Genomic DNA, 20,052 nt, shown 5'->3' with positions numbered 1-20,052 from the left:
TTATGTTCACTAAAATGAGATTAAAGGGTTAGAATGCTAATTAAACAGAACTATTTTTACATACAACTTTTACTGAAAATTATTATATAACTATTCTCAGGCCAGTAAGTAAAAAAAAAATATATATATATAATAAAAATATATATACAACTAATTTCTATTTACCATCTAGAAACTTTTTTTTTTTTTGACGGAGTTTTGCTCTTGTTGCCCAGGCTGGAGTGCGATGGTGTGATCTTAGCTCAATGCAACCTCCACCTCCCGGGTTCAAGCAATTCTCCTGTTTCAGCCTCCCAAGTAGCTGGGATTACAGGCATGCGCCACTACGCCTGGCTAATTTTGTATTTTTAGTAGAGACAGGGTTTCTCCATGTTGGTCAGGCTGGTTTCAAACTCCCAACCTCAGGTGATCCGCCAGCCTCGGCCTCCCAAAGGCTGGGATTACAGACCATCTAGAAACATTTAAAGATCATTCTCTCTTAATCTCTAAACTTTCAAAGTGATGTTTGTAAACTAGTTTAATTTCTGATGCGTTCTTCTCCCGGGGCTCACCCTCCATCTAAATAATCAATGCTGTTCTGATTTCATGACTTAGTGCTTTTTTATTAATTTGGTGTCCCAGAGAGGTTGTATAATCCTTCTCAATAATAACAGCAAATACGTAGGGAGAACTTACTATGTACTGGGAACTATTCTAAGCATGTTGTATAGTTTTTAATTTAATGCCACAACAGCACTATGAGGAAGATTCTATTATGCTGCCAATTTACAATTTAGTAAACTGAGACTCAGAGAGTTGAGGGAACTTGCTCAAAGTTAACAAGCTAGCGGTAAAATCCATGTGCTCTGACTCCAAATTCAAGTTCTAGATGACGACCCCTAATCTCTGCTCCTGCTACAATGAAGAGCTGGGAGAATAGTGCTGGGACTCAGCTTTACTTTGTCTCTTAGGACAACACTGAAAATAAGTGTCCATGCCTGCTCTGCTTATTTCCTTTTTCTAAATATACCCAATAGGGCTAACTTGGGTATACTAGAATCAAAATTCTTGCTATCGAAATAAAAAAATGTAATATGGAAAAGTATATTCAAGTAAGCCCCACATACACTTTCATTTTATGTAACAGAAAACAGAAGTTGCATGTAAATAAAATCAATTCAACGTATATTTATTGAGAACTACTATGTTCCAGGTACTTGGGATAAGTCACCAAATAAGACAGATTAAGAATCTCTCCTTAGTAGAGGACTCTAACATACAAAATAGATAATAAACAATATAAAAGTATGTTACATGGCATTATCAGTATGTAAAAGTCTGGTTAAAAAAATAAAAAAATAGGGCCAGGCGCGGTGGCTCCCACCTGTAATCCCAGCACTTTGGGAGGCCGAGGCAGATGGATCACGAGGTCAGGAGTTCGAGACCAGCCTGGCCAACATAGTGAAACCCGATCTCTACTAAATAAAAAATAAGGTGAGGCACAGTGGCTCAAGCCTGTTATCCCAGCACTTTGGCTTTTACTGAGTAAAACTTTGGCTTTTATTGAGTAAAACAAGGCTGGAGGGTTTTATGCAGAAAAGTGATAAGATCTGACCTTAGGCTACTATTATGTTGAAAAGAAATCAAGAGGGGACAAAGACAGAAACAGTATGATGGGTAAAGAGGCTACTGCTAGGCCAGGTGTGCTGGCTCATGCCTTATAATCCCAGCACTTTGGGAGGCTGAGGTAAGCAGACTTCTGGAGCCCAGGAGGTCAAGACCAGCCTGGACAACATGGCAAATCCCCATCTATATTTTAAAAAAGAAAAAAAAAAGGCTATTGCTATAAATGATGACTCAGATGAGGACTATTGTACTCTAGCTGGTGAGAAGTGATTAGATGGAGATGAGATAATAAACCTTTTTGGACATGTTAAGTTTGAGATGTCCTGAGAACCAAGATAAAGAGGAGCTTTAAGGAAAAGAAAGTAAGGAAAAGAAAGTAATCATCTAAAGCAAATGCTACAGACAGGTCAAGATGAGGACTCAGATTAGCAATTTAAATCAGTGGTGACCTTGATATCTTCCAAGGAGTTTTGCTACAAAGGAAAGTAAAAATGGAAGCAGTAGGTGGTAGAACAACTGGGGGCCAAAAAAGAGTAAAAGATTGGAACAGAGATTTTAGCTGCTACCCACCCACAAAAAAGACAGAGTATGAAGTTTAACTTTGATCAAGTTAACTGCCCGATTTAAGAAAAAAAAAAATCAAGACTCTTCAGAAGAAAGTAACAGAATACAGTCTCTACAATGCATCACTTAAGATGTTTAACTTGTAATCCAAAATTACAAAGAAACAAAAATGTGCATCATCATACATGAAAATTAGCAGGCAAAATTCTAAAGTGGCTGTACTGTAATTATGCTTAAGGATTTAAAAGAAAACCTGCTCAATGTAAAAGAACAAACAGGAAATCAAGAGACAACAGAGATTAAAAAAAACCCACACAGACATTTTAAAAACAAAAAATATAGAAAATGTTTTTAAAATTCATTGAATGACTCTAACAGATTAAAAGTTGATAAAAATCAGTGAACTTAAAGACATATTAATAGAAAGTATCCCATCTGAAGAAAACAGAAAAAAGCCTGGGAAAAAATAGAGCCTCAGAGATATCAAAAGCTCTAAAATATACATAATTACAATCCCAGAATCAAAGAGAAGAGAGATGGGCAGGAAAAAAAGTTTAAGAAATAATGGGCCAGATTTCCCCCAAATCTGGTTAAAAAAAAAAAAATTTAAAAATTAAAAGTAAAAGCATAAATTTAAAAACGCAAGAACCCCAACAAATCCCAAGCAGGATAAACGGAAAGAAAACCGTACCTAATCATGTCACAGTTAAACATCTGAAAACCAAAGATGAATAATCTTAAAAGCAGCAAGAAGAAAATGACACATTATACCCAGAGGAACAATAACATAAATGAATGCTGACTTCTCATCAAAAACAATGGAAGGGCTGGCTGGGCAAGGTGGCTCACGTCTGTAATCCCAGGACTTTGGGAGGCTGAGGTGGGCGGATGACCTGAGGTGAGGAGTCCGAGACCAGCCTGGCCAACAGAGTGAAACGCTGTCTTTACTAAAATTACAAAAAAAAAAAAATTAGCCGGGCATGCTGGCATACACTTTAGTCCCAGCTACTCGGGAGGCTGAGGCAGGAAAATCACTTGAACCCGGGAGGCGGAGGTTGCAGTGAGCCAAGATTGCGCCACTGCACTCCAGCCTGGGTGGTGACAGAGCGAGACTTCATCTCAAAAACAAACAAACAAACAACAACAACAACAATAAAAATGAAAGCCAGAAGAATAGGAAGGACATCTTGAAAGAAAAAAAAAGGCAACCAGAATCCTATCCAGTGAAAATACCCTACTGGGATGAAAGCCAAAAACAGACATTTTCATCTAGAGAAGTTTAAGAGAATACATCTTTAGCAGATCTATACTTAAAGAAATGCTGTTCTTCGGGTTGAAAGTAAATGAGACCAAATGGAAATGTGGATCTTTGGGAAGAAACGAAGAGCAATAAAAATGACAAGTAGGTGGGTAAATATGAAAAATATAATTTTTCCTCTTAATATATTTAAAATACACATGACTGTTTAAAGATCTGAGGGCTTAGAAATCAGCCTCAGACGTGATTTCTCCTTTCTTATTCCCCCTTCTATATTAATAGAAAAATACAGTACCTGTTTTAGTTTCAAAAAGAAATTTTCAGTAGTACTACGTTTGCTGAAGGGCCAGAATAATCTTTCATTAGGTGAGCAAACGCGGACTTTTGTCTCCAGGAGAAATCGAACAGGCTCCTGTACTTCTGTTATTACCAAATCTACAGCTGTGGTCATAAACAGGACTTTATCTAAACAAAGAAAGAGAGAGGCTGAAGAGGTAAATCAGAAACACAAATATATTTGCTCATAAGATTCCATAAAAGCTATTACTTTTATTATAAACTTTCAAAATACCTTAAGTGAACCATCAATTAAACATGTAAAATAACTAGACAAATAACTGGTTTCAAAAGCAAATTCCATATTGAGAATTATTTTAAAGTAACTGACAGTAGTATACACTGTAAAGCTTTCAAAACTGTACTGTCATCAGGAGACCAAGGCAGGCAGATCACTTGAGCCCATGAGACCAGCCTGGCCAACATGGTGAAACCTTGTCTCTACTAAAAATACAAAAATTAGCCAGGTATGTTGGCACATGCCTGTAGTCCCAGATATTTGGGAGGCTGAGGTAGGAGAATCACTTAAACCCGGGAGGTGCAGGCCGCAGTGAGCCAAGATTGTGCCACTGCATTCCAGCCTGGATGACAGAGTAAGACTCTGTCTCAAAAATAAATAAATAAATAAATAAAATAAAAAAAATAAAACAAAAACACCACTGTACTGTCAGATTGTTCTGCACAAGTGGCATATGACTTCTTTATGTCACCCTCATCAACACTGAAACTTCTCAATTTTTAAATTTGGTTAACAATGGTATTTGAATGGTCTGTTTACATCCTTTAACTATTTATCTATAGTGCTATTAATAACAAAAAACTGAAGGGGGGAAAAATGCTCAATAAGAGGCATTTATTAAGCAAATTACATTTTCAGAATGGGATAATATGCAGCTATTAAATGCCATTCAAAGAGCATATGAAATATCTTCCAGATACTTTATGCATAGAGTATTTGAAGAGCTACACAAGAAACTGCTAACAGTGATTCCTTTGGGACAGAGCCCTGGGGACTGTGGTAGACTCACTTCCCCCTATAAATCCTTTGAAATTTTTAACCATTTATGTGCATGGATTACCTCTGTACAAAAATAAAACTTATAAGTCTGTAAGTAAATAAGCATATAAATAGAAAGAAAGAAAAGAAAGAGGGGAAGGAAAAAATGAAAAAAAGGATGGAAAAGTGGGAAAAAGTGATACTTTGCTTATAGGTCAAATTTAATAATAAAGTGAAGAACTATTCAAATTCTTCGGTTTCATCAAAATTAGGTAAACACTGGATATTGGTCAAAGAAGGGGTCCTTAGTTTTGCATCTCTTCTTGAGACTAAAATTTCTGTTCATGATGTCAACAATCTGTATCACCTTTAGGAGTTTCTTCATTTACAACTTGAAAATGTGGGGATTTTGGATTCCAGCTCCCCGTAATAACATACGACTTTCCATCTGAACTTTTGCCCATAGATTCCTAGAAAAAAAGAGTAAAAATAAACCCGAATGCCACAGTGAGTGAACAACAGTTAACCCCCATCTTGCTGCCTTTAAAAACCAGAAGCTGCAAAAATATAAGAATATGGAAGAGGATAAGTGTATGTGAATGATTACATTTATGGTAAAAAATGTGACAATTATTTATGCAACTGTCCTGAAGTTATATGTATATGCTTACGAATATCAAATTGTATACACATTAAGAAAATCCACAACCTAAATCCAATGTTGAATTCTTCTTTCATGTGAATTATAATTTTTAGTTTTGAAAATAAAGATTTTCAGATAATGGGAATAATACTAATAACTCCTACTATTGGTAAGATACACGACAGTCTATAAATCATTCTTTAATAAATTTTCTCTTTTGATTATCACATCAACTGTACTCAAATATTTAAACAAGAATTTTATCACCACCACACAGTTAACAGACCAAGGCTTATCCAAAGTCAGACTTGTAAATAGCTAGTCAGGAAAAAGGAAATTATCTTACCTTTGCATGTTGTCTTTATAGCTTACAAGATCACCTTCTTAAACATGTTTTAACACTAGATTCAGATGAGAAAAAGTGAAACAACCTTTACTGAGGAAATAGTATGTAACTTTCTAATAAAAATAAATTCTTACCAAATCTAATAAGTGCATGTCACTATTTCGTACATCTTTTCCTGGACTAAGGAGAAGACCAAAACACCTACAAAAAAAGAACTGACATAAATTTAAGAAAAAAGATAACACAAAAGAACGTTTAAATTAGGCCACTTTAAAAACAAATTCTTGCTGATAGAAAAGAGAACACATTAGAGTTATCAATAAATTTGTGTTGCTAAAATAATAATCCTTCCTTCAAGGTCAGCTAATTCCGTTTGCCTTTTATTACCACATAGTTGAAGAGAGCGTATTAGCTGATTATTTATAGTAGCTATTTCAAAGTAATGAAGCACTGACTTCAGTAAACAAAATAATTTCCTAGGGAACAAAATTCTTTGGAAATACATTTTTTAATACAGTGTAAAACTATGCCATTAGATTGATAAAAGCCAAAATTTATATTTAAGCTAAACTTACTAAAAATGCTTACCTTTCAATGGCAAGTTCTTTATTAGTTGTTTGCTGCACATAGATGACAATCTTCTTATCAATTCCTTGGCGTAGTTTAAAGCACTGTCTGTCCTTATCTTTGGGAACTGCACTGTAGACCAACATGTTTCATTAATTTTGCAAAGCATTTTCTTGTCACATACTAGAACCATTTTTTTAAACAAAGACCTCAAATCTCTGATTCTTTTCTGTGCCTAGTTTGCAAATAATAACAAAAAAGAAAAAAATCATTCTATGCCTCTTGATGTGAAAACATCATTTGAGTCTAGGCACTATGGCTTACACCTGTAATCCCAGAACTTTGGGAGACTGAGGTGAGTAGATCACTTGAGGTCAGGAGTTCGAGACCAGCCTGAGCAATATGGTAAAACCCCATCTCTGTTAAAAATACAAAAATTAGCTGGGTGTGATGGCACATGCCTACAGTCCCAGCTATTCGGGAGGCTGAGGCAGGAGAATCGCTTGAACCAGGGAGGCAGAGGTTGCACTGAGCCAAGTTTGCGCCACTACACTCCAGCATGGGTGACAGAGCGAGACTACATCTCAAAAAAAAAAAAAAAAAAAATCATTTGATATTTGCAGGTAAACCACTAAAGCATTTATAAAGCTAAAAAAATCACTCCTATGCCCCCTAAAACATAACCTTAATTTTCTCTTTTGTTGCTGTAAAGCATGTTTCATGGCATCTGACATACAGAACTCAAAAAAAGTAAGTATTCTTTCCTTTATATTTATCACTGGGCTTTACAGATAGATTATTATCACCTTCTTTGCTTAAACATATAATGAAGAAAAAGATACTTAATCATAGATCTTTTGAGTTTCAAAGCAAGGTATCTTTAAAAAGTAATAGAAATGAGGAAGATATGGCCAATAAGCTGTTGTCCAACACTTCCCTTAAGCACTGTTAACTTTATTATAAACCAGTGTAATAATTATAAAATACTAACTAGTGATAAGGTTAATAAACATCAGCTTAATTAAAAAGGTAAAAATATTCTTTTTCTTTTTTTGAGGCAGGATCTTGATCTGTCACCCAGGTTGCAGCACAGTGGCACAATCTCATAGTTCACTACAGCCTCAAACTCCTGGGCTCAAGCTATCTTCCTGCCTCAACCTCCAGGATACCTAGGATTACAGGTACATGCCACCATGCCTAGCTAATTTTTTAAATTTTTGGTAGAGATGGATCTTGCTATGTTGCCCAGGCTGGTCTCGAACTCATGGGCTCAAGCAATCCTCCCACCTCAGCCTCCCCAAGTGCTGGGATTACAGATGTGAGCCACAGCAAAGTTCTTAAAATGACAGTTTAACAAAATAATCCCCTGTTCTCCCACACACCACTTTCTCTAGCTCACTGTTCTCAAAGGTAAACATCTGTCCATGGCCATCAGCCAATATGCAAAAAATCTAAATTGTATCTTATTTCTGTACAACTTTAAGATAATGGCAATAGAACCATTAGTAGCTACCGTAAATGGCTAGATAAAAGCTCTGAACACCTACTCAAACTTAAAGGTAGCCCTAAAGAAATACTAATTTGAAGCCCTTCTGCACTTTATTACTATTTATACTAATTCAAGAACATTTTTGAATACTTCCATTAGAAAATCAAAGAATCTTAGCAAAGAACTCTAAAAATGTCAAAAATGTTCAAAGAAAATTTTTGCATATCAAACTGTTAAATATTTGTGACAGAGTTTTCACCTATAAGGAAATGGAAGGGTCTCAATTTTCAACTTGTAATAGATACACTGGTCTCTATGTTCTTTGGATGCTCAAGTAAATATAATCCCATTGTTTAGCAGTTTAAAACAACAACAATAGACAGAAAGTTGTCTCTGGTGTTCTGAATCTACAGGGATGCAGTAACAGGAAGCAGAATGGAGAGTGTAATCAGTGGGTGTTCACCTCACTGAATGTCAGGGTCCTAGATCATATTTCTGGTCTAATAACTACATCATGTGAATGTATCCAAGTAGGGAATTTAGTATTTAATTTCTATTGTATAAAATAAGAAACTGAAGTACAGGCTTAATTTCCCTGGCTTTACCTATAAATAAGCACAGTATAAACTACCCAATTTATCTCATGAGGACGGTTAGTGGATTAAGTAAAACAAAAAAGAAGTGTCTTGAATGGTACTTTGAATGAAAATGCTCAATTTAGGTCGGGCACGGTGGCTCATGCTTGGAATCCCAGCACTATGGGAGGCCGAGGCAGGTGGATCATTTGAGGTCAGGAGTTTGAGACCAGCCTGGCCAACATGGTAAAACCCTGTCTCTATTGAAAATACAAAAATTAGCCGGGCGTGGCAGCACATGTCTGTAATCCCAGCTACTTAGGAGGCTGAGGCAGGAGAATCACTTGAACCTGGGAGGCAGAGGTTGCAGTGAGCCGAGACTGCGCCACTGTACGCCAGCGTGGGTGACAGAGCGAGACTCCGTCTCAAAAAGAAAAAAAAGTGTGAGACCCTGTCTCAACAACAAACAAACAAATGCTCAGTTTTCCCATGGGCAAAATGGAGAAGCAGGTTTCTAATCATAATAATTTAAAAATTGGCCAGGCATGGTGGCTCACGCCTGTAATCCCAGCAATTTGGGAGGCTGAGGCAGGTGGATCACCTGAGGTCAGGAGTTCGAGACCAGCCTGGCCAACATGGTGAAACCCCGTCTCTACTAAAAGTACAAAAAGTAGCCAGGCGTGGCGGTGGGCACCTATAATTCCAGCTACTCGGGAGGTTGAAGCAGTAGAATCACTTGAACCCGGGAGAAGGAGGTTGCAATGAGCCAAGATCACGCCATTGCACTCCAGCCTGAGTGACAAGAGGAAAAACTCCGTCTCAAAATAATAATAATAATAATTTAAAAATTATACTTTTTCAGAAATGAGAAGAGCATTAATTATTCTCATCATACTTTGTCTATATTTATGTTAAAGTAAAACCACAGTAAATCTTGTGTTATACACAAATATGAGTTGGACAGGGGATAAGTAATATCCATAAACCAACATGTTTTAGTACTCTATTCAACACTTAATTTCTACTTTTAAAATTTGCTATTAATATTATACACAGTATGTTGGAGAACATTCATAATAATAATTCTTTGAAAACCTCAATGATTATTTCTGCAGATAAATTTCCATACATATTACAGAATTACTGGATAAGAGGAACTACCTTTGACAAGTTTAAATCTGACAAACCAAGGTATATTTTGCTAGGATTTCATACATCTAAAGTACTGTTGTGTTAACCTAATATATTTAGGTATAATAATTATTTTGGTATAATAATTATTTAGGTATAATATTTAGATAAAATAAATATTTAGGTATAATAGTAAGTATATAATAGGTTTTATATAATAATAGGTATATAACTATTACATAATTTATATGTATAATATATAATTATTATTATACCTAAATAATATATATTAACCTAATATATTTAGGTATATTGATCATTATACTTAAATAATATATTTAAGTTAACATAACAGTATTTATTATAAACCAGAAATTCAGCAAAGCCATGTAGCAAAAGGAGAACAAAGTCCTAACAAATGTGAAAAGCAAATCTGACCATCCAGGGATTTTCTGTAATAGCACTTTGTCAGTATTAACAAATAGAACAGAGATGTTTATGATCATTCTACCTTGAATATGCCTGATTTCAGAAGGAAGGGAAGTTATACTGATACTTCTGAGGGATCTTAATCTTTCCTATTTAATAATTAGAATTTACAGACCAAAACTACATAAATATTTTCAATAAAGAAAAAAAGGCCAGGCATGGTGAATCATGCCTATAATCCCAGCACTCTGGGAGGCCCAGGTAAATGGATCACTTGAGGCCGGGAGTTTGAGACCAGCCTGGCCAACACGGCGAAACCCTGTCTCTACTGAAAAATAGAAAAAATTAGCCCGGTATGGTGGCAGATGCTTGTAATCCCAGCTACTCAGGAGGCTGAGGCATGAGAATTGCTTGAACCTGGGAGACAGAGGTTGCGGTGAACCGTGATCGTGCCACTACATTCCAGCCTTGGTGACAGAGCAAGGCTCTGTCTCAAAAAAAAAAGAAAGAAAATATATTTAGTTTAAAGGTTGCTTAACAAGGTAAAAAACTACTTAAAATTATACAGATTATAATTTTCACTTTGCAGGGCAGGAAGGTACATTGCAGGAAGGACTACCTCACAGCATTGCTTTGAGAATAGAAATAGTCAGGAATGGTTGGCTCATGCCTGTAATCCCAACACTTTGACAAGCTGAGACTATCACTTGAGACCACGAGTTCAAGACCAACCTGGGCAATGTGGCAAGACCCCATCTCTAGAAAAACTTAAAAAAAAATTAGCCAGACATAGTGGCATGCATCCGTGGTCCCAGCTACTCAGGAGGGCGAGGTGGGAGGACTGCTTGAGACCAGAAGGCTGAGGCTGCAGTGAGTCATGTTTGTACCATTGCATTCAAGCCTGAGCAACAGCGTGAGGCGTATCTCAAAAAAAAAAAAAAAAGAGAGAGAGAGAATAGAAATCTATCTAATTAGAAAGCATAGAGCACAATGAGTCATACTTTACTCCTCAAAGTTTAAGCTGCACTGTACACTAAATTGGCCACCAGATGGCATGACAATTCCAAAGTCTGAAGAAAGACTAAAAATTATCAGTTTTTCTAATAATCTAATAAACCAATCACTGTGCTTAATTTAAAAGCAAAATATTAGAAATATTCATATTTTTATATAACTTCATTTTACCAATTTAATGAGGTAGTCATGGAGGAAACAGACTTCTACATGCAATTACTGATTATAATACAATCATTTTGGGACATGGGCTGTAATTTTAAAAACATCAAGTCATCTTGCAACCATAAAATTTTAAAGTGAGAAAGGGTTTTAGAGTCTAGCCACCTCATTTAATAAATGAGGAAACTACTGACAGATGTAAAGAAACTTGGAAATGGGGACACTGTTAATAGTAACAATAATTAAACTAAAGCTAAGTTTTGACTTCTATTCCATGGTTCTTTCCACCACTCAAAGGATTATCATTATATTTAAAAATTAAAATCAGTCACTTCTAACCCTACAAAAGATTAGACTTCAGACACAGACCTTATTTCTCCCCTTCCAATGTATGCAGATAACTTTACTGGGAAAACTTGACTTGAAAAGGCTTAAGATTTTTAGATTATTAATATAAGTAAATCAACCAACTAAAACAAGCAAATACAATCAGCAAAACAAATATAGCTACAAATCCAGCTGACTAAGCTTTGGCCATATATATATATATATATATATATATATATATATATATATTTTTTTTTTTTTTTTTTTTTTTTTTTTGAGACGGAGTTTCGTTCTCGTTGCCCAGGCTGGAGTGCAGTGGCAGGATCTCGGCTCACTGCAACCTCTGCCTGCCGGGTTCAAGCGATTCTCCTGCCTCAGCCTCCCAAGTAGCTGGGATTACAGGCACCCACCACCACGCCCGGCTAATTTTGTATTTTTAGTAGAGACAAGGTTTCTCCATGTTGGTCAGGCTCATCTCGAACTCCCGACCTCAGGTGATCCGTCCGCCTCAGCCACCCAAAGAGCTGGGATTACAGGTGTGAGCCACAGCGCCTGGCGGTTTGGCCATATTTTTGTGAGCAGTTAGCCACTTGGTATCTGACTAAAAGAAGGTAGCAACATGTTCCCAATATGACAATTTTTTTAATTGCTTTAAAATTCTTCAAACTTTGCCTCTGTTAAATTTATGTATTTATATGCCTTTATCATCCAGATTTTTTTTAAAAGCCCTCCCTTTAAAAGCCATCATTTTATGGTATGAAAGTTATAATCTGACCTAGAATTTCCCCTGAACCACAGCATGTTAATACATGAATAAAATAAGATTCCCTACCTAAAATAACCTTTACCATCATCTTCTTTTATTTCTAAAGACACAGAGAAGGTAAAGATGTCACTGTCAGGAGTCTGGGGTGCAGCAGTGGCTGAAAGTGGGGTCTGCTTGGCAGAACGGCGGAAGGCAGTGGCAAAACTGTAAAGTATCCGGCTTACCTACAACCAGACATGTTAGGAAATGGGCTGTTATCAAAAGATATAAAATACCTTTATTAAGGCTGGAAGATTACCTACTTTGGAGGGCAATAATTATCTTTATCCCACTTATTTCTTTTGGTAAATTACCTAATTTGTTAGGCCTATAAAGCAAGCAACACTAAAAATGTCCAGACAAGGGGTTTTAAAAAAGAAATGGTTGTAAGCACTATAAATCCAATTTAAAAATCACTTCCTAAATTGTTAGAAACTATCTGAAGATATTACAATGAAAACAGTCCTAACAAGTTTTGATTTAAAAGAATGGTTTGCAAATCTGTCAATGTTAGAACCAGAATGCCTACTTAACCCAATCAAAAGTAGCCAACAGATCTCCTCTGACATTCTTAGTAGTAGTAACAAAGTTCTAGTTAATCAAATTTTTAGTTAATTTATATTTTGGCCCATGAGGCTAGAATCACTAAAACAATAGCAGAGAATTTCATCTGGCTTATGAGTGATCATAATAAATACCATAATCATTTCAACCTAGTGAGGGCACTGGTGAAGTTTCATTTGCAGAGAGTTTTCTCTTGAGGACTTACAGCTTCTTGTATTTCACACCGGAAGACGTGTATTCTGAAGAGCTCTGCATTGTAATGACTTTCAGTGAAAGCAAAACAGTCACTCTCAGGAGTTCCATCATGCCCTCTGACACAGAAGAGGATTTTGTAGATAGGGTAGTTTGCTATTTCAGTGTTTGTCTGAGGATCTAAGAGTCTGTTCAGAGAAAAAGATACAGAGAGATTACAGGAATTATGAACAATCTGCACTACGTTTAGATTAAGATGTGAGACTCATTCTTTCTAGTAAGAAGATCATATATTTGGTATGCTGATATTAACCTTAAATTTTAATAAGTAACTCATATGTGAATTCCGGAAGCTATTGATTACGTAATTCCATAGTACTAAAAACCATATAGTATCATGTTTTAGGGAGGCAAACAGAAAGGTATAAACAATATCAATAAGCACATTTCTTATACAGTCTGCTACAAAATAAAGACGATTAATACGTAAATTAGACTACCAAAATACATCATTGAAGCTGTGCTTTTTTTTTTTTTTTTTTGAGACAAGTTTCGCTCTTGTTGCCCAGGCTGGAGTGCAATGGCGCAATCTCAGCTCACCGCAACCTCCGCCTCCTGGGTTCAAGTGATTCTCCTGCCTCAGCCTCCCAAGTAGCTGGGATTACAGGGATGTGCCACCATGCCCGGCTAATTTTTTGTATTTTTAGTAGAGACAGGGCAGGTTAGCCAGAATGGTCTCAATCTTCCGACCTCAGGTGATCCGCCCACCTAGGCCTCCCAAAGTGCTGGGATTACAGGCATAAGCCACCACACCTGGGCAAAGCTGTGCTTCTAATTATCTCCTTTAAAAATGACCTAATCTGTTATGAAAAAATAAAAAACAAAAAACTGATGCTTTTTCTCAGACTGAAACAAGTTTTTTTTTGATTCATGGAAAATAAGGACAGAAATTATACAAAATGTTAACTCCTCAAAAAAAAAAAAATCATGAATAAAAGCAAAAGGATGCCATTCAGTAAAAAATCAAAGGGATAGCATTCATTCAAAAATCTACTTATTCAACAAATATTTATGTGATACCTACAACATTCCAGACTCTGATCAGGGCAGTAAGGCACAACTATGGAAGGTCTAAAAAGAAACTATGCAATTTCAACACTATGTGGGTAGAGCCATTAATGGGAAAGCCTAGAAGGCCTTGCTCATCACGGAAATACCTAGGAAGAGGATCTAACACAGGTTTGAAAGCACTTTTATGAAAACTCTAAAAATGTGGGGTAAAACCGACTAGCTTTCTAACTTCTTTTATAGAATTAAAAATATATTAAAGTCTAACTTCAGTTAGAGGAATGAGTATTGACTAAGAAACATATAGAAATGAGTGCTAAACACATTTTATTAATAGTTTATCATTAATAAATAGAATTTGTGAGTCTTTGCAAAATAGTTATTTAAATACTTAAGGGGAAAAATTACATATACAGATTATTTTACTACAATCAACACACAGCTATTACTCTGTCACCATGAAAGTCCAAAATACTTCTGAGGATACTGAGAAATGGATATTCTATATACTGCTGATAAAAGTATAAACTAGATCAATATTTCTAGATGGCTAGTTGGCAATGTTATTAGAAGCAATAAAAATAGACAAACTCAATAAGTTTACTTCTAGGAATTTATCCTAAGGAAATCAACAGAAGTCTAAAAAGATTGAGCTCAAAGATACCTATTTATAAAACACTGATATTCCCATATAATTAAAACTAGCTATCATCATTCATGCTTTTTTCTCTGAAAGATAAAAGCCTTAAAATGTCTAATATAAGAGATGGGTTATTTATTTATAACCCATTCATATGCCATCATAAATTAAAATTTTTAATAATATTTACTGGCATGAAAAGAGGTTTACGATATAAAACTAAGTACAAGATGGTATGTACAGGTCCATTGCTGTTAAAAAAAAAAGTTGATTCTAACAGTTGTAAATTATGTATGTATATATATGCAGGTATATTTACATATACCTAGACATATACATATACCAATATGCAAAGAAGATCTTAATAAGCCAAGATGTTAACTGTATTTATTAGTGGTAGAGTAGAATTAAGGCTATTTTTATGTGGCAATTTTTTTAAATAAGCATGTATCTTTGGTAATAGGGAAAAAAAATTTATTTTACCTGCATTCATCTGACTTATTGAGCAACAGTATATTTAGCTGGTTGATACAGACATCTGATTAGCTATCTGCAATTGTTATTTGTTCTATTAGTATAAACAGCTAGAGGCTTCTCTGTGCCTCAGTTTTCTCATCTTTTTTTTTCATTTTGCTTTGTTGAGACAGGGTCTCACTTTGTCACTCAGTCTGGAGTGAAGTGGCATGATCACAGCTCACTGAAGCCTTGAACTCCCAGGCTCAGGTGATCCTCCCATTTCAGCCTCCTGAGTAGCTGGGACTATAGGTGTGTATGACCATGCGTGGCTAATTTTTGTATGTTTTGTACAGACAGGGTTTCACCATGTTGCCCAGGCTGCCCAGGCTGGTCTCGAACCCCTGAACTTAAGTGATCAACCCGTCTCAGCCTCCCAAAATGCTGGGATTACAGGCATGAACCACTGCACCTAGCCAGTTTTCTCATCATAAAAATTAAGGGGTGTGCTGGTATAGTTAATATTTAATAATAAATTTTTGTAACTTTCAAACTCAACATGAAACTCCATTTTGAAATAATGTGTCAAGCTTGTATTTTCATCAAAGGAACATGGAAAATATAATCTTTTAGGCTGACTCATGTCAATATATTTCATTTATCCCCAAAACATTAAATGCCTAATGTACTACACATGATCGGGAAGAGTACGAAAAACTATTACAAATAAGTAACCATTTTTCACAAAGGTCACAGTCCTTGGGAGACATGAGTGCCAGGTAAATGAAACGTTACACAAGTAAAATAACTATTAATATGTATTTTATTCACTATTGCTTCTTTCTGAAGCAACAGGTCAGAGATCTGATGTAAATATCGAAAGATTTCAACAAACCAGTCTCACCTCACAATTCCTTCAGACACATTCGGCACTGAAAGGGTAACATCTAGTGAAATCTGACACTGGCTTCTTAAGATGGACATCATCCTTAAGGCTTCCACTTCACTCCTGGGAGCATTTACCGAGGCACAGCCTAAGTAAGTCAGTTTACTGAAAACTACGCTGTCCTCATCGGCCACTGGTGTGAAAGGACTTGAAGCTTCAGAATCTGAAAGAAACAATGAATAAGGAAGTGATTACTTTCACTTTGATATTTTGTTGATACGATTAGCAAGTAAAAATCTGCAAGTAACATTTAAGGTCTAAAATTAAGTATTAATGAGACAATATGCCATACCCTAAAAGAAATGCCCATGAAAACCAGAAATCCCACACTAGAACTCTGTCAGAAACACCAAGATTTTTAGGTACAGGTTGAGCATCCTAAATTCAAAAATCTGAAACATGAAATGCTTCAAATTTCAAAACCTTTTGAGTACCTACATGACACTTAAAAGAAGTACTATTTGGGGCATTTCAGTTTTTGAATTATTGGATTTGGGGTGCTCAGCAGGTAATTATATGCATATTCCAAAATCCAAAAACATCTGAAATCTGAAACACTTCTGGTCCCAAGCATTTCAGACAAAGGATACTCAAAATATAGTGCTATTAGAGTCGGTCTCAATCAGACTCAGATTTGATTCACCTTTCTGCCTCTTCTAATTTGTTTTGACTTTGTAATTTACATTTAGGTCGAATATACATTTAGTATTTCTTCACTCTGAAACTCCTATCTCTGACTGTCATCTTTTTTTTTTTTTTTTTTTTTGAGACGGAGTCTCGCTCTGTCGCCAGGCTGAAGTGCAGTGGAACAATCTCGGCTCACTGCAACCTCCACCTCCTGGTTTCAAGCAATTCCCGCTGCCTCAGCCTCCCAAGTAGCTGTGACTACAGGTGCGTGCCACCACGCCTGGCTAATTTTTTGTATTTTAATAGAGACAGGGTTTCACCATGTTGGCCAGATGGTCTCGATCTCCTGACCTTGTGATCCACCTGCCTCGGCCTCCCAATGTGCTGGGATCACAGGCGTGAGCCACTGCGCCCGGCCTAACTGTCATCTTTCTGAGCTGCACTGTTACAATTATTTCTCTAATTCATCATCTTAGCCACTTCATTATGTTCTCTTAATCCCTTTGGCTTTCCTTTCCCAATAACATCTATAGTTTTAGCACCTGCTTTTCCAAATGAGTCTTTTAAGTTGTCCTTCTCCTCCCATGCTATGTCTTTCTGTCCCATGTTCTAGTCTTCCTTTTTCAACTTGGCAACTGCTCCCATAGAGCTATATAGGTCTGGAGCAAACATCTGTTCACCCAGAATTATCCCTCCATTTCTCTAATATTGTACTCATATTCCTTCTTTATTTGAAAAATCTTTAAGCATTCCTGGGGGGAAAAAAAAAAAGACTCCCTCTGTGTCCTTTAGCCATGTTTTCTCTTTCCTTGGTACAAGTGAAATACATTTAAAAGGAAATCAGAATGGTATATATATTTTTACTCCTCTCACATCCCCTTAGATTTAGAATTCAGAGATTCTAGAGAATGTTTTTGCCTGTTTTTGTAGACAATGGTTTTGCCTGTTCTAAATAAAACCTAGTACAGGGTGGACACTCACATATTAAAAACAATAACCTTCAGTTACGCAAGCAATGCAGCAATCCTAACCTCCTTGTCCAGGTTTCACTGGTAGGCTCATCTCTGGTTTTTGGAGCCCTACTAATGGCACAGGGTTAATGGTGGATGAAGCGGAGAGCTGATTAGAAAGAGGCCCATCTCCTTCACCATCCAGTTGTGACCTTTTCACAAGCTCCTTTTCCCCTGGCTGGTCGTCCATTGGAGGATCCATCAGTACATCTGCTAGCTCTTTTTGCAGCTGCTGTTCACTTCCATTCCCTACAATCTAAGGGTCACAAATACATGCAATCAGCAAAGTGACAAAGATTGGCCAGTATTGATTAAAATGGGTTCACATTCTAAAGAAAATCATTAGCATTTCTTTTGATACAAAGATATCTTCTGAATGTTTTTTTTAAAAATAGAATAAATCAAGATCTGCAACAAATAAGGGTGCAGCTGCTCTCTCAATTACATAGTTTTTCATGAAAAAGTACATAGTGAACTTGAGACTAATACCCAGAAATATATGCGATAGCCTGCCAATGTTATTAAAGTCTTTTACTGTGTCCTAAACTAACAATAATTAAAGGATCTATAATTTTGTCTGATAAGAAATAACGCTTTTAAGAAGAACATCTTAGTGTCTCCTCTAGCCCTTAAGAAAAAGGGAAAAATGTGCTTGCTTCCAAAAGGTATCAACAGAAACATACATATTAGGCAATACATTTCCACAGGTATTTTACCACTCCAGTCATATGCAAGTCTCTTGTATTTCTGAGGAAGAGTTACATGATATGAACAGGTTCTGAAAGTTCTGAAACACTTGAGTAAAGCTGACATGAATGTACAAAATAGTCCTGAGAAATAAAAGCACTCTATTTCAATAATATCAAGTAATTCTATGGAGTCATGATGGGTTATTACTAGTTCCTCAACAAGGAAGCAAGTAAGTGCAAAATCCAGTGGAGACTGCCCAATGCCAAGGAAAACCACAAGTGACATAATGCAGTATTGTCACTAAATGCTTAAGAAATACTAAAAAAATTAACAAAAGAATTGAGTTAGAAAAACGAAGTCATGGGAAAAAAGAGGGAGCCCTGATTTAGGAGGCTTTCTGAAGACTAAAACCTAACAAAAAGTTAAATTGGGCAGGGCTAAGAGAATGAGGCCTACCCTAGCAAAATTAACACAGATGCTAGGAAGCAATATTCCAATAACAGAGGTAGGTACCTCTGGGGTACCAAGAAATCCAATTCAAGTACTTTTATTGATTCAGGCTTTTATAATTCTATAAACTTCAAGTCTCTTGTGCTGCAAATTATAATTGAGAAAAAGACAAGTCTTTTTTGCGGACATTTTCCCAAGGAAATTCCAACACTTCAACTACTTTTGCCTTAGAAATAAAGACCTCTTTCTTGGCTTCAATGACAATTTCTGTTTCTGTGAATTTCATTTTATGTTTGGAGTTACTGCTAATGGAATTACAAGTGGGCCGAGTAATTTTAACCCTTTGTTAAATCAGATTCTACACATACACAAGTGCAACTGAATTTCTTTTTTTAGAAGTTCTGCTTTAAAAAGTTTTTGTTTTTTTTTTTTTTGCTGGGCGCAGTGGCTCACGCCTATAATCCCAGCACTTTGGGAGGCTGAGGTGGACAGACTGCTTGACCTCAGGAGTTCGAGACCAGCCTGGGCAACACAGTGAAACCCCATCTCTACCAAAAACACAAAAATTAGCCGTGCATGGTAGCATGTGCCTGTGGTCCCAGCTACTGGGAGGCTGAGGTGGGAGGATCGCTGGAGCCCAGAAGTTGAGGCTGCAGTGACCCGAGATCACGCCACTGCACTCCAGCCTGGGTGATAGAGCAAAACCCTGTCTCAAAAACTTTTTTTTAAAAGTGACATCATATCACTATGTTGCCCAGCGTGGACTTGAACTCCTGGGCTCAAGTGATCCTCCCTCATCAGCCTCCCCAGGAACTGTGACTACAGGCAGTGCCACCACGCCCAGCTTAAAAAATTTTTAAAGCACCTAAAAATCCAACTAAAGCTTAGATTCAATTAGCCTCTTATCTTTTCAAAACTGGAGAAGAAATACTGTATCACCTGCAGTAAGCAAAAGACAGCCCAAGTGAACCTAAACTAATTTTTCCAAGGGTAGGGAGAAATAACATATAGGAATAGAGTTATACAGCTTCCCAAAAACAGATGAGAGAAGATATTAGATTCCCTGTTGAAGCAATTAGTAATTACAACTGGGAATGCAACTGGAATTGAAGGAAGACATATTACATGCTGTGAAGTACTGTTTTGATCTTTGGCACATAAGTA

The 20,052-nt window shown here is 36.4% G+C and overlaps 1 protein-coding gene across 16 annotated transcripts in view; it reads right to left on the bottom strand.

The window, feature by feature from the left end:
• Nucleotides 1-20,052, bottom strand: part of RABGAP1 (RAB GTPase activating protein 1) — a 173,196-nt gene that overhangs the window by 102,378 nt on the left and 50,766 nt on the right. For 14 of the 16 annotated variants that reach the window (XR_007061269.1, XM_047423130.1, XM_017014567.3 and 11 more), the window contains 8 exons: nt 17,770-18,004; nt 16,070-16,274; nt 13,018-13,192; nt 12,276-12,433; nt 6,338-6,448; nt 5,884-5,950; nt 5,128-5,230; nt 3,723-3,892 (listed from right to left, as the gene is read on the bottom strand). Coding sequence is in view for 15 of the 16 variants with exons in the window: in XM_047423130.1 (XP_047279086.1) it covers nt 3,723-3,892; nt 5,128-5,230; nt 5,884-5,950; nt 6,338-6,448; nt 12,276-12,433; nt 13,018-13,192; nt 16,070-16,274; nt 17,770-18,004 (1,224 nt within the window). In the remaining variant the exon portion in view is untranslated. Of the gene's footprint in view, nt 1-3,722; nt 3,893-5,127; nt 5,231-5,883; nt 5,951-6,337; nt 6,449-12,275; nt 12,434-13,017; nt 13,193-16,069; nt 16,275-17,719; nt 18,005-20,052 lie in introns of those variants that run through there. The other 2 variants (XM_047423131.1, XM_047423132.1) reach the window with 2 other exon arrangements.

Source organism: Homo sapiens, chromosome 9 (assembly GCF_000001405.40).
Source record: "Homo sapiens chromosome 9, GRCh38.p14 Primary Assembly".
Taxonomy (NCBI): Eukaryota; Metazoa; Chordata; class Mammalia; order Primates; family Hominidae; genus Homo; species Homo sapiens.
Note: the sequence above shows the minus strand (reverse complement) of the source record. Positions and strands in the feature narration are given on the sequence as shown.